The sequence below is a fragment of the Homo sapiens genome, chromosome 3, assembly GCF_000001405.40.
Source record: "Homo sapiens chromosome 3, GRCh38.p14 Primary Assembly".
NCBI lineage: Eukaryota > Metazoa > Chordata > Mammalia > Primates > Hominidae > Homo > Homo sapiens.
Genome location: NC_000003.12, coordinates 7,764,099 through 7,789,805, shown reverse-complemented (window position 1 = coordinate 7,789,805; position 25,707 = coordinate 7,764,099). Strand labels below are relative to the sequence as shown.

At 40.9% G+C, this 25,707-nt stretch overlaps 2 annotated features.

Annotated features, from left to right (window-relative positions):
- Positions 364-1,112: an enhancer, noted in NCBI's record as "OCT4-NANOG-H3K27ac hESC enhancer chr3:7830381-7831129 (GRCh37/hg19 assembly coordinates)". NCBI's record gives its function as "activates a minimal SCP1, AML or CMV promoter by ChIP-STARR-seq in primed H9 embryonic stem cells {active_cell/tissue: H9 hESC(primed)}" and the evidence as "EXISTENCE:reporter gene assay evidence [ECO:0000049][PMID:30033119]".
- Positions 1,113-1,863: an enhancer, noted in NCBI's record as "H3K27ac hESC enhancer chr3:7829630-7830380 (GRCh37/hg19 assembly coordinates)". NCBI's record gives its function as "activates a minimal SCP1, AML or CMV promoter by ChIP-STARR-seq in primed H9 embryonic stem cells {active_cell/tissue: H9 hESC(primed)}" and the evidence as "EXISTENCE:reporter gene assay evidence [ECO:0000049][PMID:30033119]".

Below are 25,707 nucleotides of genomic sequence, written 5' to 3'. Positions count from 1 at the left end.
TGAGGAAGGAAGGACTAATCTTGCCAGATTTATTTATTTTTTTCCAAAACAGAAGCTGAAAATTTGAGTCACAGTGAGAAATTTCCTAACTTAAGATTGTCTCAAACCTTATTTTTAACAACACATAGAATTATGGAAGCTCAATATGGGACCGATACTTGGCAAGCAATGTATTTGAAGTTAAGTTGTGGAGAACCAGTCGGCTCCCTGATTAGAACAGTGGTTCTCAAAGCGTGGAACATGGACCAACAGCATCAGGGTCACCGGGGAGGTTGTTAGAAAGGGAAATACTCAGATCCCAGCCCAGACCCGCTGAAACAGACACTCCCACTCCGGAAGTGAGGCCCAGAGCTTGCATTTCCATCAGCCGTCTAGGTAATGCTGATGCCCACTGAAGTTTGAGAACCACTGGATTTTTTATCATGTATCATTTTATCATGTTCTTCTTGCCTCCATAGTAGTAGAGGAAACCAATGAAAGAACATAATAGTCATCACAGCATCAAACTTCAACTGAGGTACGAGTTTGTGGAAATACAGAGTTTCAGGAGAGACAGATCCTCCCCTTTAAATCCAGTTTGAAATCGAAGGCAGAGAAAGCTGTACTTTGTGGCACTTTGTTTTGTTCAGATCCCACCTCTGCTATTTGCATCTCAAAAAACCTATTAAATCAGCCCAGTGCAAGATCTGCAGGAAGCACCCTACCATTTCAGCAACTTGAACTACAAAGGGAAGGGAAGGTGCATGACTATGGTTAGAGCAGGGAAGATTATTTATGCTATAAAGGAGGTGAGCCATGGAAAGTGTTTACAAGCTGAGTCATAAAATATTTTAAAAGATAAGTGATATGGAAATGTGTATGCCAGACTCCATAGTTTCAGTATATTCATTTCTCAGGTTAAACACACACACATACACAAGATCACGCTTACACAAATACACATATGCATTCATATAAATATATGGTGTGTGTAAAATGCACGTGTGTGTGGGGGGGGAAGCATATGGAATATGCTATAAGAACTATGAGCAGTTATGTAAACTCTTCAAGACAGAAAATGTTTCAGGGTACAGAATAAGAGTGCTGACAAAATCTCAAAATCAGGCTAGCATGTGAATTGAGAGGCTTGACAAGAGCACATTGCCATTGGCTGCTTACAGCCAGAGTGCAGTATTGCATAGTAGTTGACATTGGGTGCTTTGGATTCAGACATCCAGGATTTACCTCTTGCTTCTCTTTGAAGGGTATTTGAGTTTGGAACAGGTAACTTAACTACGTCATTGGTAAAACTAGACTAATATGAAGTTTTTGAAACTGTGTGTGTGTGTGTTTGTGTGTTTATGTGTTCATGGTAGCAGCCACTAGTTAGCACTTACAGGGAAAAAAACTTACTGAGTGCCTGTATATCAGACACGGTGCTAAGCATTGGGGATACTGCTTGCAATCGCTTATTCAGGAAAGACAGAGGCTAGGCAAAGCATTATAGGTATACAGAGTGTTTTTAAAAAGTGAGGCTGCTGTGGGATTGCAATAGGAAAATAAATCAGAGTCTGAAAGTGACTTAAACCTTAGCAAACAGTATTGGAAGGTAAATGAGAAATGCTAGGTGAGTTGCTCTCTACCTTTGGTGAGTGGCAGAATCTCCTGGAATATTTGTTAGAAATGCAAAGGACTGACTTCCTGCAGTGCAAGTGCCCACACCTCCAGCTGCTAACTCCTGACAATGACTCATCTAAGAAGGCAACAGGATTATTGAGGTGTTGGAGCTGATAAGAATCTTAGCTGTGGTGGTGGGTACACAAACCTACTCAGATGAAAACATTCTAGATCATGAAACACACATGCACACATACACGTTAGGACAAATACAACTGGAAAAATCTGAATAAGAGCTTAAAAAGGAATCCTGTGGGCAGATCTTCTTCCTGGAGATTTGGGAGTTAGAGTGGAGTGGAGATGGGGTATCATATTTTTTAATATCCCAGGTCATTCTAATATTGATCCAGAGTTGAGAGCCATTGTGAAGAGTAATGGAAAGCCACAGTAAGGTTTAACCAGGGATGTGGCTTGATCACATTTTCGTTTGAACATCACTCTGGGTATAATGAGAAAATGGAATACAGAGCAAGAACAAGGAAGGAACTAGGAGGCCATTAAGGTAATCCAGGGAGTGCTGATGTCTTGCAAAAGCAAAATGAGGGTAGGGATAGATACGTGGTTTTTAAATTTTATGACTGACACGATCTAGTAATTGACTGGCATAAGACTGCAGAAGAAGAGTTTTTGAGACCCACGTGTTCTGACACTCCAGAGGAGACTGGAAGTTAAAGGAGAACGATTCTGAAGTTAAAAGTGAAGCTTAATTAATCAATGAGAAACAGAATCAAAAAAACTCATTTGAGTCTGTGACTTGCAAAGTCCAGAATCAAAGGAAAGGGACAAGGATGCGCCACTGAGGCCTGAACTCTACAGCCAGAGGCCAAGACAAGTGTTTTAGGGGACTTAGAATGTGACTAGGGAGTCTTGATCCTATAGCTTTCCCTAAAATCAACAAGAAGAGGACACAGCATGGTGAAAATACTCTATTAGTGTGGCTTCTTAAGAGGTATGGTGCCCAGAGGAATGGAAGGAGGATAAATTAGAAGAGGGAAACTGAAAGTAATGAGAACTGCAAGGAGGATGATTATAATAGCAAGGTGTGGAGTCATTACAGGCCAGAATTAGAGGGATAGCAGTGACTGGAAGGAAGGGGGTAATTACAAGTGGAATTATAAGGGAAAAATCAACAGGACCAGATGGCTGATTGAAAGTGGGGAGCCATAGGAAGGAGGCCAAGAGCCAAAAGGACATAGAACCATGGCAAGAGCACAGAAAAACAGGAAGCAGGGTAGGAGTAGGTTTGGTAGGACAATAGAAGAGTTTGGTTTGTGATGTGTTAGTTGGAGGTGATGGTGGGGGAGAGACATGGAAGTGCCCATTCAGGATGACAGCTAGAGAGAGGAGGCATGGGGTGGTGGCTAAAGGGTGTCCTCAGGGCAATGGCCAAGCACAAGAAGCGCCCAGGTTGAACACGGTGTTTGCTCCTTGTATTCAGTGTTGGTGTAGCACAACATGAACTAGAGGAGGCTCGATTCACCAAGGTTAACAAAGATGAGGCTTTGCTAGCAGACTTCTGAGCAGTTGCAGGATGGCAGATGCTGAGGCAAACAAAATCAGAGGTGGTCATTTGCAGTGGAGGTCTTCCATGAATACATTAGGGCAAAGGCCGAAGAACTCCGGATACCCATTAGAAGTGGCAGGGGAGGGGGCTGGCTTACGCTGCTTCTGCTACCCACCCTTACTCATTACTGCAAATCACAAGTTTTGGTGTTCAAGTTCAGGGGTTGACAGAGGACTGCCGATATGCCAAATCCAGCTCACCCTGTGTTTTTGGTAAATTGTTCTTGGAACACAGCTGTGCCTGCTCATTTACATATTGTGTGTGGCTACTTTTATGCTACAATAGAAGTTGAAGAGAGGTGACAGAGACCATATTAGCCACAAAACCTAAAACATTTACTATCTGGCCCTTTGTGGAAGATGTTTGCTAGCCTCTCCTCTAGTTCATTGGTGTCCCCTCCAGTATGTGGCTTAGAGAGTCTTCAACATTACCAATCACCTCCGCCATCAGTTACCCCAGTACTATATTCATCTGTTCATTCCTGCCCACCAGATTATTTGCCTATATTAAGGATGTCCAATCTTTTGGCTTTCCTGGGCCACGCTGGAAGAAGAATTGTCTTGGGCCATACATAAAATACATTAACAGTAGCTGATGAGCTAAAAAAAAAAAAAAAAAAAACTGGTCAAGAAATCTCATATTGTTTTAAGAAAGTTTACGAATTTGTGTTAGGCCACATTCAAAGCTGTCCCAGGCTGCATATGGCCTGTGGGCCATGGGTTGAACAACCTTCTTGTATACAATCTTATTTAAAATTTTATGCAGACTAAGTCCCTCAACCTGTGTGCATGGAACAAGTGGCTGCCCCTCAGCCTTCACTCGTGTTTTCCCTACTTGGGTGGGATTGATCCTGTGACCTTTCCATTGTTACTAATTTAGAGTCAGCTCTTTTTTTTTATTATTAGACTTTAAGTTTTAGGGTACATGTGCACACCTGCAGTTTTGGTACGTATGTATACATGTGCCATGTTGGTGTGTTGCACCAATTAACTCATCATTTAACATGAGGTATATCTCCTAAGGCTATCCCTAGCCCCTCCCCCCACCCCACAACAGGCCCCCATGTGTGATGTTCCCCTTCCTGTGCCCGTGTGTTCTCATTGTTCAATTCCCACCTATGAGTGAGAACATGCGGTGTTTGGTTTTTTGTCCTTGCGATAGTTTGCTGAGAATGATGATTTCCAGCTTCATCCATGTCCCTACAAAGGACATGAACTCATCCTTCTTTATGGCTGCATAGTATGCCACGGTGTATGTATGCCACATTTTCTTAATGCAGTCTATCATTGTTGGACATTTGGGTTGGTTCCAAGTCTTTGCTATTGTGAATAGTGCCGCAATAAACATAACATGTGCATGTGTCTTTATAGCAGCATGATTTATAATCCTTTGGGTATATACCCAGTAATGGGATGGCTGGGTCAAATGGTATTTCTAGTTCTAGATCCCTCAGGAATCGCCACACTGACTTCCACAATGGTTGAACTAGTTTACAGTCCCACCAACAGTGTCAAAGTGTTCCTATTTCCCCACATCCTCTCCAGCACCTGTTGTTTCCTGACTGTTTAATGATCACCATTCTAACTGGTGTGAGATGGTATCTCATTGTGGTTTTGATTTGCATTTCTCTGATGGCCAGTGATGATGAGCATTTTTTCATGTGTCCTTTGGCTGCATAAATGTCTTCTTTTGAGAAGTGCCTGTTCATATCCTTTGCCCACTTTTTGATGGGGTTGTTTGTTTTTTTCTTGTAAATTTGTTTGAGTTCATTGTAGATTCTGGATATTAGCCCTTTGTCAGATGAGTAGATTGCAAAAATTTTCTCCCATTCTCTAGGTTGCCTGTTCACTCTGATGGTAGTTTCTTTTGCTGTGCAGAAGCTCTTTCATTTAATTAGATCCCATTTGTCAATTTTGTCTTCTGTTGCCATTGCTTTTGGTGTTTTAGACATGAAGTCCTTGCCCATGCCTATGTCCTGAATGGTATTGCCTAGGTTTTCTTCTAGGGTTTTTATGGTTTTAGGTCTAACATTTAAGTCTTTAATCCATATTGAATTAATTTTTGTATAAGGTGTAAGTAAGGGATCCAGTTTCAGCGTTCTACATATGACTAGCCAGTTTTCCTAGCACCATTTATTAAATAGGGAATCCTTTTCCCATTTCTTGTTTTTGTCAGGTTTGTCAAAGATCAGATAGTTGTAGATATTTGGCATTATTTCTGAGGGCTCTGTTCTGTTCCATTGGTCTATATCTCTGTTTTGGTCCCAGTACCATGCTGTTTTGGTTACTGTAGCCTTGTTGTATAGTTTGAAGTCAGGTAGCGTGATGCCTCCAGCTTTGTTCTTTTGGCTTAGGATTGACTTGGCAATGCGGGCTCTTTTTTGGTTCCATGTGAACTTTAAAGTAGTTTTTTTCCAATTCTGTGAAGAAAGTCATTGGTGGCTTTATGGGGATGGCATTGAATCTATAAATTACCTTGGGCCGTATGGCCGTTTTCACGGTATTGATTCTTCCTACCCATGAGCATGGAATGTTGTTCTACTTGTAACCTCTTTTATTTCATTGAGCAGTGGCTTGTAGTTCTCCTTGAAGAGGTCCTTCACATCCCTTGTAAGTTGGATTCCTAGGTATTTTATTCTCTTTGAAGCAATTGTGAATGGGAATTCACTCATGATTTGGCTCTCTGTGTGTCTGTTATTGGTGTATAAGAATGCTTGTGATTTTTGCACATTGATTTTGTATTCTGAGACTTTGCTGAAGTTGCTTATCAGCTTAAGGAGATTTTGGGCTGAGATGATGGGGTTTTCTAGATATACAATCATGTCGTCTGCAAACAGGGACAATTTGACTTCCTCTTTTCCTAATTGCATACCCTTTATTTCCTTCTCCTGCCTAATTGCCCTGGCCAGAACTTCCAACACTGTGTTGAATAGGAGTGGTGAGAGAGGGCATCCCTGTCTTGTGCCAGTTTTCAAAGGGAATGCTTCCAGTTTTTGCCCATTCAGTATGATATTGGCTGTGGGTTTGTTATAGATAGCTCTTATTATTTTGAGATACGTCCCATCAATACGTAATTTATTAAGAGTTTTCAGCATGAAGGGTTGTTGAATTTTGTCAAAGGCCTTCAAGACTAATAAAGAAGAAAAGACAGAAGAATCAAATAGATGCAATAAAAAATGATAAAGGTTATATCACCACTGATCCCACAGAAATACAAACTACCATCAGAGAATATTATAAATACCTCTATGCAAATAAACTAGAAAATCTAGAAGAAATGGATAAATTCCTCGACACATACACCCTCCCAAGACTAAACCAGGAAGAATTTGAATCTCTGAATAGACCAATAACAGGCTCTGAAATTGAGGCAATAATTAATAGCTTACCAACCAAAAAAAGTCAGGACCAGACAGATTCACAGCCAAATTCTACCAGAGGTACAAGGAGGAGCTGGTCCCACTTCTTCTGAAACTATTCCAATCAACAGAAAAAGAGGGAATCCTCCCTAACTCATTTTATGAGGCCAGCATCATCCTGATACCAAAGCCTGACAGAGACACAACAAAAGAGAATTTTAGACCAATATCCCTGATGAACATCGATGCAAAAATCCTCAATAAAATACTGTGAAACCAAATCCAGCAGCACATCAAAAAGCTTATCCACCATGATCAAGTGGGCTTCATTCCTGGGATGCAAGGCTGGTTCATCATACGCAAATCAATAATGCTAATCCAGCATATAAACAGAGCCAAAGACAAAAACCACATGATTATCTCAATAGAGTCAGCTCTTGACGCTTCAGGGTGAAGTTCTGTTTGAGGAGAGTAGAGAAACATTCTCTCTTCCCATGTATGTGCATATCAAAGGGTTTAGCCCCAGGAGCTGCTGAGAGAGCCCAGACTGAGAAGTGGGGAGGAAAGCACCAAAAGAATGTTAGGGAGATGGAGCCATGATTCCTAAACCATCAGAAACCTCAGATCAACCTGAATCCTGCCCAGCCTCTGGGCTTCATGGTTTTGGTTATGTGAACAAATAACATCCTTCATCATTTCATTCAGTTTGGACTGGGTATCCAGCAACAGGCCACATAATATTGAAACCACCTTTGCAAAATTATAACTGACAAAGTTATGACAGTGAAAGAAATCAGACCTAACCAACTCCATTTTGCTTCTAACCTTAAACTGTCCTTGTTTATTACCGGACATAGGCCGAACTAACTTTGGGAAGGAAATCAGTTTATGGTTTGACTCTGAAAGAAAATTGGTAAGAGTCCTTTCCTGAAAAGACCCCCTTCTTGCCTGGGGACGTGTCTGCCTTTGCAGGACTAACAAATTAGCTACAAGATTAGAAATTACAGTTTAGGGGTCATGGAGCCTCTGGCTCCAAGTGTCTGAACCTTCCCAAATTTCTCCTAGAGATAACATCACTATTGTAAAACCTAAGATCAGTGCTTGAGATAGTTTGCAGACCCTGCACTCAATGGATCAGCTGACACCACCCAGACCAGTAATCTGGCTCAATCATTTATGCCATCCCACCCAGAAACAGAAGATAGCAAGAAAAACTCACTTTGACCCCCTCTATGATTCCATCTCCAGCCTGATCAGTCAGTACTCTCTGCTTCCCAAGCCCCTACCCACCAATGTGTCTTTAAAAACTCTGATGCCCAAATACTCAGGAGACTGATTTGAGTAATAATAAAACTCCGGTCTCCTGCACAGCCGGTTCTGTGTGAATTACTGTTTCTCCCTTGCAATTCCCCTGTGTTGATAAATCAGCTCTGTCTAGGCAGTGGGCAAAGTGAACCCACTGGGCAGTTAAAATGAGTCTTAAATGACTAACATGGAAACATCTAACATAGATACATCTCAGTTTACCTTAGTGATGCCACTGGGGGAGCCCCATCCCCTCACCAGTGCCTAGTGGGGGATCTCGTAAGAGCCCTCCTCACAGTGCTTTTCCTGGGCTCAGCCCTCTACCAGCTGCTTTGGCCTCCATCCGTGCATGTCGCTCAGAATTGCTTGTGGCCTCTGTGCCACAGTGGGGTTTATTTTGGTCAATGCATGGATGTTCCTCCTGCAGATTGGTCTTATTGGACAGCTTAGCAACAGCCTTCACTGTTCAGGTACTTGGTCCTTTCGTCCAATTAAAATATCTTTGGTAAGTATCCTTTGGTTCTAAGGAGCAGCAACTGACACTGGCAGTTTTCAGGAAACAGAAAGGCTTTATTATGGAAGGATACTGGGTAGCTCATATGATGGACAGAAAAGCTGGATCATCACTACAGCTTGGAAAGGGCAGGATTCTGGAAGCTCTCAAGAATTAGTAAGCAAGAATTAAAGACATACTATTTAGGATCCAGATGTTGAAGCCACCCCAGCCTTCTTGTTCCCTTGTGTGTCTGCTCAAAATTCAAACTCCCAAAGGAAGAGAGGCCTTGGGTTACATATGAAGGCAGAGCTTTGATGGATAAACTCTCCTAAATCGTTTGTAGTGGAGGAAGGATGGTTAGCCAAAAGAAATTTTGCCATGACTACCAAAAGAAGGGAGGAGGAGGATGCACAGGAAAAGAACTGTCGGTAATAAAACTCTGCCTGATTGCACAGGGGCCACGTTCAGGGACACTTTGGTCACTTAAATCAGCATTTCTCAAACTTTAATATGCCTCAGGATGTCCTGGAGGGCTCATCACAACACAGATGCCTGGGCTTCTCACTTCCATTCTGATGCAGTTGCCCTGGGGTGAGAGCCTGAGATTCTGCATTTCTAGAAATTTATTAAAATGATACTGATATGGCTAGTCAGAGGCGCAGACTTTGAGACTCACTGTCTTGTACACATTGTATTCTTTTTCAGAATTTTAGTTAAAAAAACTTCCTAGGAATAATGCATCAGTGTTTGTGCTTGGAAGAAATTTAAGCTCTCTTCCTTGTTGTAGCTAAACAGTTTTTAACTCCATCTTTTACTTGTTAGTGGTAGTGGGTGGGTGTCTTTTAAATTTTCTTGGACTATACCTCACCTAATCTTTTTGAGAAGATGCCTTTGTTTTTACTCAGCTTTAAGGTCCGTGTCAAAACCTATGATGAAAATCAAGTCCTCGGGTGTGTTGAAGTCTATCCATTTTGACAGCTACAGTCAAACTCCAAATAACTTCAGAGGACTGAGGGAATTTGTTCCTGAAAATAGTTTGGCAGGTGCTTATTCTCTTGAAAAAAAAAGTCTTAACGTCTGAAAAATATCTCTTAACCATACAGATTATTTGCCATTGCTCATAGAAAGAGGGAAAGTAAGTTAATTTGAAAGTGCTGCAAATTTTAGTGAATCTCTAATAGATTGCTTGATTATAGAAGATATTTATGGCGCAGGAAGGATTGCTGAAGGTGCTCTGGTGACATCATCTTTTTAAAGATAATGTCCAGAGAGGGAAAGTAACTTGTGTTAGTTTGTTTTGCATTGCTATAAATTACCTGACTGGATAATTTATAAAGAAAAGTGGTTTACTTGGCTCAGGGTTCTGCAGGCTACCCAGGAAGCATGATGCTGGCATGTGCTTCTGATGAGGTCTCAGGAAGCATACAGTCACAGCAGAAGGCTGGAGAACAGCAGACATGTCACATGGTGAGAATGGAAGGAAAAAGGAGAGTGGAAGGTGCCGGGCTGCTTTAAACAACCAGCTGTCACCTGAACCCACAGAGCAAGAACTCACTCGTTACCACGGGGAGTGCACCAAGCTATTTATGAAGGATCCACCCGCCATGACCTTAATACTTCCCACCAGGTCCCACCTTTAACATTGGGGAATCACATTTCAACATGAGGTTCGGTGGGGCAAATATCTAGACAACATCATAACTTGACCAAAGATCACAGTAAAGGTCAGAAGTACAACAGGATTTCACATCCCTGGTTCCCAGCTTTGACGATGATGGTGGAACAACAACGGTGGTGTGATCACTGTCGCCACTATTAGCATTCTTATGGGGCACAATAGCAGTGGTAGTTCTGCTCTGAGTCATTTCTGACATCAGCCTGTGGAGTCAGCATTACTATGCCATTTTACTAACGAGGACATAGAGAAGCAAAGAGAAACTTGCCCCCAGATTACAAACATCAAGGAGATGGGATCCAAATTAAAGTTCATCAGCCTCCAAAATTTGTTTCCTGTATTTCTACACAATCCCTGATGAATTTGGCTAATTGTATGAACCATATCTTATTGTAGTAATATAATGGCTTATAATGTGGTGACATTTTTTTCTCCTCTGAACAAAATAAAGTGACATTTTAAAACCAAATAACAAGAATTGGCCTCTGCAGGATAATCACATCACATTGGCATATTTACTTTTAAAAGTAAATTATGTTTTATGGTGGTTGTTAAGTTAATGAAATTATCATACTACCAACTAAGTGGATTTTATTATCATAGGCTTTGCGCAGGGCACCTGAGCCTTGACTGGTGCCCAAGGAAATAACTGATTGCCAAGAGGGAATTTGAGCCCTGAGGCCTGAGTCGCCTCAGTAGCTGGATGCTTGCATGCAACTGGTGCTAATTACCTCATTCAAGCAGGTGTTCTGTGTTGCTTTTAAACTTTCTAGCTCGGTATTTTAATTCAGGGAATTTCCATCTTTATATTACTTCACCGTCATATAGGAATGCTTTACATATATACATATATATATGTATATATGTATATATGTGTGTATATATATATGTATATATGTATATATGTGTATATATATATATGTGTATATATATATATATGTATATATGTATATATATATATATATTTCTATGTGAGGCCAGTGCTGAGAAACACCATAAAGGATGTTTTAGGCTGGGCGTGGTGGCTCATGCCTGTAATCCCAGCACTTTGGGAGTCTGAGGTGGGCAGATCACGAGGTCAGGAGTTCGATACCAGTCTGGCCAACATAATGAAACCCTGTCTCTACTAAAAATACAAAAAATTAGCCAGGTGTTGTGGTGTGCACCTGTAATCCCAGCTACTCAAGAGGCTGAGGCAGGAGGATCACTTGAACCCTGGAGGCGGAGGTTGCAGTGAGCCAAGATTGTGCCACTGCACTCCAGCCTGGGTGACAGAGCGAGACTCTGTCTCAAAAAAAAAAAAAAATGCTTTTAGCAATGACATATTTGAAGTCCTGCGCCCTGGATTATGGTCCTGTTGGCAGCAGGCAAGTTAACAGTTTCTTACTTGAATAAGCAGCTGGGGAATTTAACATATTGTCGTGAAGTTTTTATTTCCCCCTCTGTGCATCCATTTCTATTTTTTCTTATCACCCGGTCCACATTCACTTGACCATCTTTAGGAAAAAGGACTACATAGTATAGATTGGGAATGTAAAGTAGACACAGTCAGACGGTAGTTATTGGGTGGGGGAACCCCAGGAAAGTTAAAACATTGTTTCTTAATTTGTTGGAGAGCAGCTGCTTCTAAATTACTAGGAGCCCTGGTTAAATTGCAGATTCCTGGGCTCTACTCCAGATTTACTAAATTAGAATTTCTAGGAAGGGGGCCTGGGGAGCTATATTTTTTAAATGCTGTAAAGGTAGTTCTTATACATACTAAGTTGTGAGAATGGAATATAGCAAGACATAAGTTTCTATTGCTGTGTGCATGTTCCTATGTTGAAAGAGGGAAAGTAAGAAAAGCACACAGGTATATTCAGCTCACAAAATGTTCCATTCATATGTATCATGTGTTATGTATTTGCACATACACATTACTCACACATGCATCTGCATGCATACACAAGTGTGTATTTATATCTATGTATAGATATACACACTTTTTTTTTTTTTTTTTTGAAACAGTCTCACTCTGTTGCTCAGGCTGGAGTGCAATGGTGTGATTTCGGCTCACTGCAACCTCTGCCTCCTGGCTTCAAGTGATTCTCCTGCCTCAGCCTCCCAAGTAGCTGGAATTACAGGCATCCGCCACCACGCCTGGCTAATTTTTGTATTTTTAGTAGAGATGGGGTTTCACCATGTTGGCCAGCTGGTCTCTAACTCCTGACCTCAGGTGATCCACCCGCCTTGGCCTCCCAAAGTGCTGGGATTACAGGTGTGAGCCACTGCGTCCGGCCACAACTATCTTTTCAAAAGGCCTCACCTCATTGCATCACCACATATATATATAGTTCTCTACTTCCTTTTCATTATTTGAGATTATTTTGTTTTTTTTTCCTGACTTGCTCTATAAGGATATAAAGGTATTAAGGATAGTCTCTAGCTTGTTTGCTGATAAACTTCCAGTGCCTAAAACAGTGTCTGGCTGATAGCAGACACTCAGAAAATACTTATTGAATCAATAAATGCTTTCATTTAGGCATCCCTGGCAGATTCAGCTTCCTAATTCTGTATTCATGTGGCTTACATTGAATTTACTCATGTGGGGTCTATAATGGGAGCTAATGGGAGGTTTTCATCTAGTATGCATATTGGGTTGCTAAGAAATGCCAGTTTGGAAGCCAGGTGTGGTGGTGCACACCTGTAGTCCGAGCTACTTAGGAGGTTGAGGCGGGAAGATTACTTGAGTCCAGGAGTTTAAGGCTGCGGTGAGCTTTGATCGCGCCACTGCACTCCAGTCTGGGAGACAGGGTGAGATCCTGTCTCAAAGAATGTGTATGTGTGTGTATATATGATATATGATATATGATATATATATATATATATATATATAAAATATAATACCTATATAAAAGAAATGCCACTTTGGGAAACGAAGTAGGCTACCCTCAATGCACAAAGTCTTAACTGAAACATATGTGCTTACCTAGTATCCCAAGTGGGTCCTGCCGTATTTTGTTTTAATCCCAAATTCTGCTGCATTGGCTTCTGTTGATTTTTCAGAGGTTGAGAAAATGTTTAAAAGATGTTAAATCCAGAGCTTTATGTGTTCCAAGAAACTCATTGTCAGTGATACTATGTCCAAATATTATATTATTTGTTTTCTGTGCATTGAGCAGAAAATCTCATGGCATGGCTTATCCTTGGCAAGTACATTAAATACTGGTCTGATTAAGCCCTTTTCTGCTGGCTACACATGTCTGACAGTGTGTCTCTTCTCTGGGATACATGACTCTCTCGCCTTCTCTTCCCAATCTTTCTTCTTCCAGACCTGAGATAGTATAATGGTTGAGGACCTGCACTTTACTTTGGAAGCTGATTTCCAGAGTTGACATAGGCATTCCACTGCTTACTCTCTGACCTCAGGCAAATGACTTAGCATTTCTGTGCTCCAGTGGGGTAAGAGTACCTACCTTATACGAATATTATAAAAATAATCTAATATATGTAAATCTCCTGAACTAGAGACTAGGAATATAGTAAATACTATGTAAGTATTAACTGGTGATATTATTTTTATTGACATTCCTTATCAGTCTTATTCCTGGAGAATAATTTGGTCAGAATTGGAAAATCAATCTTAGAATCTAAAGTTGATGATCACATTCCTATAGTGGGGCCATTAATCATGATTAATTTTAATAGTGATAATAATTACATTTGCTGTCTGCTTATCCTCTAATAGACTGGGGGCTGAAGTGCTTTATATTTCTACCTACTTGATCCTTTTCACAATCCCCTGAGGTAGGCAGGATTCTTGTTCTTTTACATATGAGACAGTCAAGGCTCAGATGGGCTAAAGAACCTTGTCCAAGTTCACCCAGACAGTAAGACAGGATTCCGACCTAGGCAGTCTGACTCAATACACCACCCAATCCTACCTACTTCTGACTACCCATAATGGAAATAAAATATATTAAGGTAGAAACTACCTCACATAAGAGACCCGTCTTACTGACGATTCTGTTTCTGTAGAATGCTGATTGTTTACCTTTACATAGGACTTTGCAGTTTGTGAAATGTTTCCCCATGTGCAATGTCATTTACTCCAGTCCTCACAGCAGTATAGGAAGTAAATGAGTCCACATTTTCAAAACAGAAGGAACTGAGGGCGGGAGAAACTCAGTCACTTAATTCCCCAGCCAGCAAGTGATAACATTTTGACCGTCATCTGGAGGCCCTACCTCCAAGCCCTGCCCTCCTTTGATGATGATGTGCTATGCTAATATGCTACCCGTGGCTATTTTATTTGAATTTCTTTTCCAATCTGTGAGATCAGGAGCATATGCTGGAATACAGTTTTATAATTAGGACAGCAGGCATTCTTAAAATGCATATAGGCTTAAAATATCACTCTAGAGGGGGGTTTAACCTACTGAGAAGTACAAAATATTTTGAGATACTTTAGATAACATGTTGTCTTTATCTAGCTAGCATTTTATAGAGGTCCATTTTAAAATCTGTTAATGAAGTAAAATCATTAACTAGCTCCTAAGTCTATTTCTTGGTTGTCACAGTCTAATTTCGTATGCTGCAAAGACATGTTTTCTCAAAGGCTGGTTAAAATAGACTTTAGGTGGGAAAAAATTAAGATAACTTGTTAGGATATGGTACTAAACACATTTCTTAGTATCTTTAAGAGCCTTTCCTACGTTAACGTGTGCTATGATGCTCTAGGAAGAAAATGTATGGCCTCACAAGTTTACTAGACCATAAAAATCCCTAGGATGGGGATTGGCAAACTGTAGTGTGTGGGCCAAATCCAGTCTGATGCCTGTTTTTGTTTAGTCTGTGAGCTGAACAAAATAACTTTATTATCTAATCAGTTTAGTTAAACAAACAATATACAACAGACTGTATATGGTCAATAAAACCTAGCATATGTACTGTGTGGCCTTTCATTGAAAAAGTGTGTCAAACTGAACTCTATCCTGGAATGACAATATCATCACCGTTGCCCCCATCATGCTAGTTAGACTCTAAAGTGGCCATCCATCCACCCTCTCTTAAACATGCATGTGAATCTTCCATCAACAGGTGGTGGCTATCCTCTCACCCCTTCAATCTGGGCTGGCCTGTATGTTCTTTGACAAAGTAGAAGAGTGACACTGTGGCAGTTTTGGATGTAGCCATAAAGAAACTACAGTTTTCACCTTGGTTTGTTGTCATTCTTAGTCACCATGTGAAAATGTCACTTGGCCAAGAGCAGCTAAAATCTACTTAGGCAACAGAAAGCCCTGGTACAATACAATTTGATTAACTCTGCTACATATCTGCTATTTTATATCTTTTAACCTATATCTCCCCATTTCCTCTCCCTGCCCTCTACCTATAGTAACCACCATTTCATTCTCTGTGAATTTGAGCTTTCTAAAAAATATTCTTGTTGCAAAAAATAAGTAACTATGTAAGATGATAAATGTGTTAATCTGTTTCACTCTAGTAACCATTTTACTATATGTGTGTATATATACATAACATTATGTTACAAACTTCAATTATACACAATAGTTTTTTAAGGCTATTGGAGAGGGAGAATAGCCTGGACCAACCCAGCCTTCCAGCCATTCCCGTCAATGTACCACCTGTATTAGTGAAACTAGCCTAGACCTTAAAGACCAGTGCAGATGCCAAAAGGTATCACCCAACTGGTCCTGCCTGAACAGACCTCCACGATTGTGAGATATGATAAATAAGTTGATATTTAAAGATACTAAGTTTGGGCATAATTTATTACATAGCAATAATTGAAGCAATCCTTATGTTCCTTCTCATCATTGGCTTCATCATCATTTTGCAGAGAATCTCTAGGGCTAGTATCCGATGGCACTCACTTTGAGAAAAATCTGATTTTGAGAGTACAGTGGTGCTGTCTTCAAAATTTGGTGTTTTTATTAATTTACATAGACTATTCCATGAAAGGTCTAAATTGGTGTAGGTTGGCCTAGTAATAGTCATTTTGTCAAATACCATCTTATGCAGGGGACTGTGTCAGATGTGATACACCTGCAGAGATAAGATAGCAGCCCAAACATCTGAACCCCTTCATCTCATATCTCCAACCATTTCTTATATCCTCAAAGTGGAGGATTTCAAAAAGTGAAACCTCTGCTATCTAGCTGTAGTACAATCTCTTTAGGGGGTTACAAGATCACAACATCAGGAGAAAAAAGGTCTCTACATATGCACCAAAGCCCAGCACATTACAGATGTTCAATGATAGTATCATGTGGAGGTTAATTTCAAATTCAGAAAAGCATCTTCCTTCACTCCTAGATGGTTGATATTTTCTCCCATAGCTGACAATTCTGCTACATAAGCCCTGCATAAGCCACAAGGTACGCTGATGGCTTGCTTCAGCTTGTCACACTCCTGATTACAAATCTTTAGCATCCCCACTGTTGGAGAACCTCTCATTTCTCCAGCTGTGCACATGTGCCCCCTACAATCTAGCCGCAGCTTATTTCCCCATCTGCTGCCTAAAAAGTGTCATTGAATTTTTTATTATTCCTAAAATGCACCATGTCCTCTCATAACTCCATGGCTTTGCACATGCTATTCCCTCTTCCCCGAATGCAGGTCCTGCTTTACCACCTAATCTATGTCTTCTCACCAAGGCACTACCATCTCCTACTCCATCTTGAAAGTTTTTCAGACTCCCCTGGGGGAAGTCTGTCTAGCTATTTATGTATACCTCTGTTATACTTCTGTTACAGTGTTTACCACAGTTGGTTAAACTTTATTTTCCAGATGTAAACTTTGCTTTTCTAGGCTCTAATTTTTTTTATCTGTGAAATGGGTATCCTATGACTTGCCTGCAGGCTTGTTGTGAGAATTAAACCTGATGTAATATATATTTAAGCACCTAGCAACTGCTAAGGAAAAGGCCCTTTATAAATCTTTGCTGTCTTTACTTTCTATTTATGGATGACAATCTTTCCCTTCCCCACCTCCTCCATCACACTCTGAGCTGCTCCGGAGTAGGCAAGACACCTTTGGTATTGTCCTATCCATAGTGCCTGGCAAAGACCACGTGCTTGGTAGGTAGGTGTTGAATGTATTGTCCCTTCTAGTCTTTTTACTTATCCTGACTGGTTACTGTATTTTGTTTAGGACAGCCAGCTACTTGTGGAGGAAAGTATTTAAAGAGGAAAAAAAAAAAAACCCACACTAAGTGCCTTCCATTTAGTTTGGGGGCATTATAATATAGGGAAAACACCGTGGCAGATGTGGTCATTTGTCCTTCACCATTGGTGGCAACCATGCACAACACCATTTTGGCTGTAAGTTTTTTCCTGTTGGAGGGTCAAAGACAAATCTGGGCTCAGTCCGAATTCCCAAAAATGATTCAGTGCACTCCTTACATTGGAAAAGCAACTGTGAAGACATTTGACACTCACATTGTTTGCAGGAGTCCAATTGAAGGATCTTCATTGTGATTTATCCTTTCTTGTTGTATCACTCCTTCCTACACAGGGTATATATTAGAACAATAGATGGAGGTTCAGCTTCATTTAGATGTTCTTGCCTTCCCTACTAATTGATTTTGAACTTTGTCTGGTTTCTTAATGTAACTTATTGTAAATTCAGCTGAGGTTTTAATCATGAAATTTTGTTCTTCATTGTCTTGTGAAATGACTTGGAACAAACACCAGGAGAGTCACCTGGTGCCAGTTGGCTCTGTGGGCAGAAGGCAGATAGTTAGCCTGGGCTTTCTGGTCCCTCAGCATCCTTCGGAGTAGATGGGTGGTTGGGCTGGAGAGCAGGGGGGTGAGTCAGGTGGCTGTGCAAAAGCAGAAGGACCTACTCTTTGTTGCTTTCCCTTTTCTCACAGGGCCAGAGACAAAATTGTTTGAACTCCAAGCAGCCTCAGCTTAGGTGGCATAAGTGTAAGTCAGCGCTAGGAGACACCAGCAGCAAAGCACCAGGAAACCTGGGCCAAAGTATTCTGCAGCAGGGAGACCCATTAAAGCAAGATGGATGCTTGAGGGGCTGCAGTCCCACGAGAAGTTGAATGTGGCCATGGCCCCTCCAGTTAAGGTAGGGTAGCGAACATCCCAAAGAGCTTGTTGCCAAGGATCTCAGAGAAGGGACCTGGGGTCATTCACTGGAGAATCCTGTTTGTCTCCATATGAATTTCTGTTGTTGTACTCCTCCATTTGTATATATAAATCCAAAACAAGTGAGTCTCTAAAAATCTGATCCTGTAAACACTTTCCACAAGAGCCAGAGTTTAAATAGCTTGTATACAGGTGAATACAAGTGAGAATTTTAATATTTTAAAGCTGAACAGGTACCACAAAGGGTAGGTGTAATGGAGATGAATTTGCAGGAGAAACTCCAATTTTTAAAGTCCTCTCTCCAATTTTCTTGTTTTTAGATTTCACTGTCCATGGTTATTGTATTGCCTTCAATTTCTATGATGTTGACAGGATAGTTAATCAATATGGATTTCTGAGTTCATATATTATAAAGTAGGATATTATTTGTAGTAGTAGAGCATATACAGTTACATCACTTACTGACATCTGTAACTAAGCTAAGGCACTGTCAGGAAAAGAGTGTTAACTGTAAATGTAGTACCCAGGAGCAGAAGGGATTGGTGCTTGGCCCATGTTCTCTGGGCCCTGGCATCATAGTTGTGATGGTTAATATTGAGTGTCAACTTGATTAGATTGAAGGATGCAAAGTACTGTTCTTGAGTACGTCTGTGAGGGTGTTGCCAAAGGAGATTAACATTTGAGTCAGTGGACAGGGAGAGGCAGACCCACCCTCAATATGGGTGGTCACCATGTAATCACCTGCCAGCATGGCTAGAATAAAGTAGGCAGAGGAACGTGGAAAGAGCAGACTCACTGAGTCATCTGGCCATCATCTTTCTCCCATGCTGGATGCTTCCTGCCCTCAAACATCGGACTGCAAGTTCTTCAGCTGTTGGACACTTGAACTCACACCAGTGGTTTCCCAGGGGCTCTCAGGCCTTCAGCCACAGACTGAAGGCTGCACTGTTGGCTTCCCTATTTTTGAGGTTTTGGGACTCGAACTGGCTTCCTTGCTCCTCAGCTTGCAGACGGCCTATTGTGGGACGTCACCTTGTGATCATGTGAGTCAATTCTCCTAATAAACTCTCCTTCTTGTATACATCTATCCTATTAGTTCTGTCCCTCTAGAGTACCCTGACTAATACAATAGTGTTTTCTGCCTAACTTCAACTTCATATGTCAGCATCTGCTTCTCTGCATAAAGAATTTTTTTCTACTGGGCAAGCCCATTCTGCGTCTGTGCATGGCAGACTGACGCAGTAGAAAATTAATGCGTCCTAAGAGAAGCTCTCAATAAATAAGTGGCAGAGACTCCCTTGCCTCTGGTGGGATATTTTTGAGGTACAAATCTATGTGGTTCTCAGAGATTGTAAATGAGATTATGCTCCATTAACTCCCAGTGGTAAGCTTCTTGACAACACCCTCTGTTTTCTGGCTGCTCTTGTTTGTTTCATCTCTCCCTTTACTACTGGTGTTTCATGAGATTCCCTCCTAACTAAACTATTAGTTTTCTTATTATTTCCTGAGGGTCTGGCTCTGAGAGAAACCAAACCAAGACATACTTAGTGAAAAATTATATTTAGGAGCCCATGTGCCTTGAAAGAGAGTCTAGAAGCTAAAAAAATTGAATGGAGTGGTCCCATGAAAAGACAAATTGACTGAAATACCAACCTTAGGAGGAAATCTAGGAACATGGACTGATGGTCCCAATGCACCCCAAATATACCCAATTGTGAAGAGAAGAGAAACTGGAATTACTCAAATGGAGCAGCTTTGCAGATAGATTCCTTTCTAGGATCTGGTTCACAGCCTATAAAGTCTGGATCTTTTATGTCCCCTAGTGTTGGGAGTGGCTGGGAAAACAGATTGCTTTCCCAGCATTAAGAAGGCTCAGAGCTACCCCAGAGCTTGTGCATTCTTTCTTATTCCTCTTCTCCTCTTGTTTTCAAGTCACATATGGTAGTGGAAGAAAAGTACAACAAACCACTTCTAAAGAGACTACATGGCCACTATTGGAAAAAGTTAAATAACACTACTTGTATTTTGGCATTTGAACCTAATAATAGGGATACAGAATTACAGAAACTCAGTTTTAGGAGGGATCTAGAGGCTCTTCCAGCCCAAAGCCTCATGTTGTACATTCATGCCTCTCTGATGGACTGTTACATACTAGGTAATTATTAAATATTCTCTAAGTGTCTATTTGAAGTAATTAAGTGTCCTTCTGACAAGCTTGAACACAGTCCATAACTGAGAGTTGGCTCCCTTCCAGGACAATGGTCTCCATCCCCACATATAGTAATCAGCAATCTTTCCTTTTGCTCCCCTGTGGTTTCAATTAATTCATCCTAATTCTACTACTTAAGATCCTAAACAAGAGAATTCAGTACAGCTCCATCCTTCGGTGGCATCCCTTTTAATCTGTTCTCTAAGAAACACATCCACTAATCTTTTAGTTGTTCATCAGGTGATCTGCTCATGAATCATTTTTGCCACATCTCTCTGAATATATCTCTCCATACTTAACTGCCCTTAAAGTATAGCTCCAGGTATTAAGTAGAGTGGAAAAGGCCAAGAATGATTCTGGGGCTCTGGATTAAAGGTGATGGAACTATTCACAGGGAGAGAGAACACTGAAGGAAGACCAAGTCTAGGCATTACTTTGATTAGTTTGGTTTTGGAGAGGTTGAATTTGAGATGTCTTGGAGAGATCCAAGAAGAAATATGACAGATGTATTTGGATATATTAATATCCAAGGTCTCAACTGAAGAGAGACATTTATAAATCATCTGCAAATAGGTGATAATAAGTATGATAATTGAGGAATACAGTATATAAGAGTGAGAAGAGCAGAGGCCCTTAGACCAGGCCTTGGTGAAATCTTACATTTATTTTCTGGGCAGAGAAAAATGAATTTATTTTTAAAATGAGAAACATCAGCCAGAGAAGTAGAAGGAACTCCATGAGATTTCTATATCATAGCAACTAAATTAAAAGATTATTTTAAAAATAAGGGACTGAGGCTGGGAGTGGTGGCTAATGCCTGTAATCCCAGCACTTCGGGAGGCTGGGGTGGGCAGATCATGAAGTCAAGAAATTGAGACCATCCTGGCCAACATGGTAAAACCCTGTCTCTACTAAAAATACAAAGATTAGCTGGGTGTGGTGGTGCGTGCCTGTAGTCTCAGCTACTTGGGAGGCTGAGGCAGGAGAATCGCTTGAACTCAAGAGGCAGAGGTTACAGTGAGCTGAGATCGTGCCATTGCACTCCAGCCTGGTGACAGAGTGAGACTCCATCTCAAAAAAAAAAAAAAAAAAAAAAAAAAAAAAAAAAAAAAAAAAAACAAGAAAGGGACTGATAAGTACTAATGAATATCCCTGAGAAACCAAGTTAGAGCTTCAAAGAATGCCCTTTGAATTTAGTGGTAAGGAAGTATTTGATCAGTTAAGCAAGGTCATTCTAGGAAGTGAATAAAAAAGTCCAAGCTTCAGTGTTTATGTATGTAAACTACTGGAGTTCTAAAACTGGCTCTAAAATCAGATCCCACAGAGAACTTTTCTGGATATTCAGACCATGGCAACACCATTTGAATAAAAATGCAAAGTGCTATGATTTCTTCAAAGGCAAGGAGGCTTTTGTTAATTATGAATTCTGGTGAGTTTAGGAATTTATAAATTTTCTAGCTAATTTCCCAAATCATGTTAGTCATTCCTTTGCTCAAAAGCCTCCTAAGCATCCCTTTTGATTATGATACAGCTTCATTTTATATAGATTTTGTAAGCTGCTGCTCACCTTTCTTGCCTTATTCACAGTAGTTCCCCAGATCCCCTCTATGGAGCCATACCACACTTTCTTATGACCCCATGCATTTGCTCTTCTATTCCTTTTGCAAGGCACTCATGTATTAGTCTGTTCTCATGCTGCTAATAAAGACATTCCTGAGACTGGGTAATTTACAAAGGAAAAAGATTTAATTGAGTCACAGTTCCACATGGCTTGGGAGGCCTCACAATCATGGCAGAAGGTAAAGGAGGAACAAAGTCATGTCTTACATGGCAGCAGGCAAGAGAGCTTATGCAGGGGAACTCCCCTTTTATAAAACCATCAGATCTCATGATATTTATCCACTATCATGAGAACAGCATGGGAAAAACCACCCCCATGATTCAGTTACCTCCCACCGGGTCCCTACCATGATACATGGGGATTATGGGAACTGCAATTCAAGATTTGAGTGGGGACTCAGCCAAACCATATCAATATGTATTAGTTTTTGCATTGCTGCTGTAACAAATTGCCATACATTTAATGCTTAAAATTATACAAACTTGTTATCTCACAGTTCTGTAGATGAGAAGTCTAGATACACTATACCACAACTGGGTCCTCAGTTTAGAGACTCACAAGGCTAAAATTGAGGCATTGGAAAGGGTCCATTTATTTCTGGAGACTCTGGGAATGAATCACCTCCAAGTTCATCCAGGTGGTTAGTCAACTTCTGCCTCTTAGAGTTGCAGGGCTGAGATCTTCATTTTCTTGTCGGCTTTCAGCTGGAGATGAGCTTTTGCTCCCAGATGCTGCCCAGATTCTTTCTCATGCTTTTCGTGCCCCCCTACCCCAGTCACCCAAAAATGTCAGCTTGAGCCCCTCTCTGGCTTCAAATCTGTCTAACTTCTTCTCCCTTCTCTCGTGGAGTCAAGCCAAAGAAAAGCTCTCTGCTTTTAAGGGCTTTTACGGCTAAATTAGGCTATCCAAGGTAATCTAAAATAATATCTCTATTTAAAGATCTATAGCCTTAAAAAATTTACAACACCCCTTTTGACAAGTTGGGTGACATTTGCAAGTTTTAGAGATTCGGGCATGGGTATATGGTTGGTGAGATGATTCTGCCTACCATAGCATGCCTTTCTTCCTCTTTCTCCCCTCATGTGCACCGACATAGCCTTCAAGTCCTAGCAGAAATGCCACTTCCCCTATATTTAAATTTCTACTGCTATCCCCACCTCCAGGAAGAACCCGTTGCTCCCTATGTGCGTCTCCTCAAACCTTTGGCCATACTTTCAATTTTATCTTATTGTATTATTCTTAAGAGTGCATTTGATCTACTGCTAGGCTATCAATGTTTTGAGGACAGAGAAAATGACTCATTTGTCTCCACACCTTAGTGCATCAGACTGGGTTCTGTGAGATGTGTGGGGAATCTTGGATGTTACTTCTTCATCTTTCTATTGTTCTCTGTCTTTTCTGTCTCCCTTCTTCCTGTGACTCCTAATTAAGCACAACTATGAAAATGCCTCTCTTCATACGCCCAGAAGGTATAAATCTGAGTGTTGAGTTTCCTTCTTGGATTTTTATTCAGCCCAGTATTTCATTCCATCTCAAATTCCCTGTAAGTCAAGTGACAGAGAATCAGGATCTGCAAATCACCATTGAGTAAGCTGTTGAATAAGGTGATTGTCCTTCTAACAACTACTTGCAATGGGTATAGGCTTTCCCTCCTCCTCCTTTTAGGTTAGGAAACTCAATCATGAACAGGTAAGGAGGTTTCCTGACCTCATGAGATATAGGTGAGAAAATAGGTGCTCTGAATCGAGGCTCCAGGCTTCTGGGTCCGTGACTCTTTTTTCTATCTATAGTACTTCAGCATGCATTATTTTCCTATTACTCTCTTAGCCTCAAAAAAGGCTCCATTCAAGTGCTCCCTGTCATGTTTGTCACTGTATCAGCCAAGTGTGAAGTTTGGACTTGCCTTCTGTCATCCTTCTTTCCCAGCTGGGCCTCATGACTTCTGGATTCATTGATCCAGGTCCTACCTCTCCATCCCAGCAGAGACTTTTAGATACGTCTGGTTTATTATGGTCTCCACACCTTGGTGCGTCGGACTGGGCTCTGTAAGATGTGTGAGGAATCTCAGATTTTAGGACAGAGTTTGCCAGAAGTGCAAGGCATGCACACCATCCATGCAAGGGCTTGCTAGGTCTCCTTGGAGAAAAAAGCCCTGGAAATGACCCAGAGCATTCTATACACACAAATGTCTCAGGGAGAGGGAAAAAAGGAAAAGAGTAAAAGAGAAAGGAGCAGATTTTGCCTTGTGTTATTAGGCAGCAAACTCCTGTTTGAGTCTAGAAGGAGAATGATGCCTTGAGTCTGTCATAAAAGTTTCATTATCACTTCAATTCTAAACGTCCTTTATCATAGACAACCTTGGGAAGGGTGTGTTTTTGTTTTGTTTTGTTTTGTTTGTTTGTTTGGTTGGGTTTTTTTTGCTTTTAACTTTCTTTTAATATAAGTAACAAATTTTCAGTTTTTTTAAGGCTATTGTTTTCAAATTTGATTAAGTTGTCCTTGAACTTATGTGCAAATTTAGTCATCATCTACATAGCATATTATATTTTCGTGGAATTTTATATCTGTTGGGCACCCTTTCTTCACTCCGTTTGGGGAAGTACTAGTGTAGTTTGCTTGGTTTCTCACTCTCACAGCCTATTGGTATTTTTCACATCAAGTTGTATGGGATGTAACACTTAAAAATTGCCTCAGAAATTGCATTAACTGGTATTTATGGCGTTAAAGGGAGAGATTAAATTTTTCCATTTTTTAATATAATTTTGCAATGAGTACAACCGACGGGATACAGTATTCATGAGTGCAAAGCCTCCTCCAGATAAATACAAAAATCCTATTGACTATACTGTGATTAGGAAGAACAGGAACCAGAAGTTTATAAATTCGATGCTTACCGAAGCAAGTTCTAAAATTTCTTTTTTGCTGCATATGCTCATTTTTGTGTGCAGTTGTCCACTATGGAAGAATCGGAATGCACAATGGGGAGGTAGAAGACTGATTCTTAGATCTGGTCTGTCACTAACTAGATGTCTAGGGCCTAGGGCTGGGGACATACAAATTGTTAGTGACAGAACCAGAATTAGGTTCTTTTGAGTCATAGGGAAAATGCATAAACTTTAGTGGGGGTTGGACCAAACCAGGGGTCTTGAATACTTACTGTAGTAGTCTTTTATTTCCCTGTCTTTAGTCTCTTCTTTTAATCTATCCTTTCTTCAAAGTAAATCTAATACATGCAGAATCTGTGAGCTGTTATTCATGGAACTCAATCCTTTTGCTTTTGGAAGGGTTTTTAAATCATATCCGACTTGCATCTTTGCCCCAGCACTACCGGGGCTTCTGGCTGAGGAGCCAAGACAGCTTTTGTGTATGAAATGAAGGTGACTTGGATTAGGAGAGTGTGGCTGACCCATGGCTCTGCGAGTCTCTTCACACTGCCCAGGGCACTGCCACAGGCAGGGACTCTGTGCACATGGATGAAAAGAAGCCAGCCTGCTGGACTACCCAAGGAACCAGAAGGCTTTTGTGCAGTTGGATGCCTTCCAGAAACTTGGTGACATGAAAGGATGAAACATTACCTCTTGAAGAAATAGCAGCTGTTAACATAACTTGGTGGGGAGTGAGGGTAACACAGGGGAGAGCACCAGCTGGAGCTGGTAGAGCAAAGTTGTGACCTTAGCATTCCTGATTCCCCCTCCCTTATAGAGATGCCCACCCAGATATC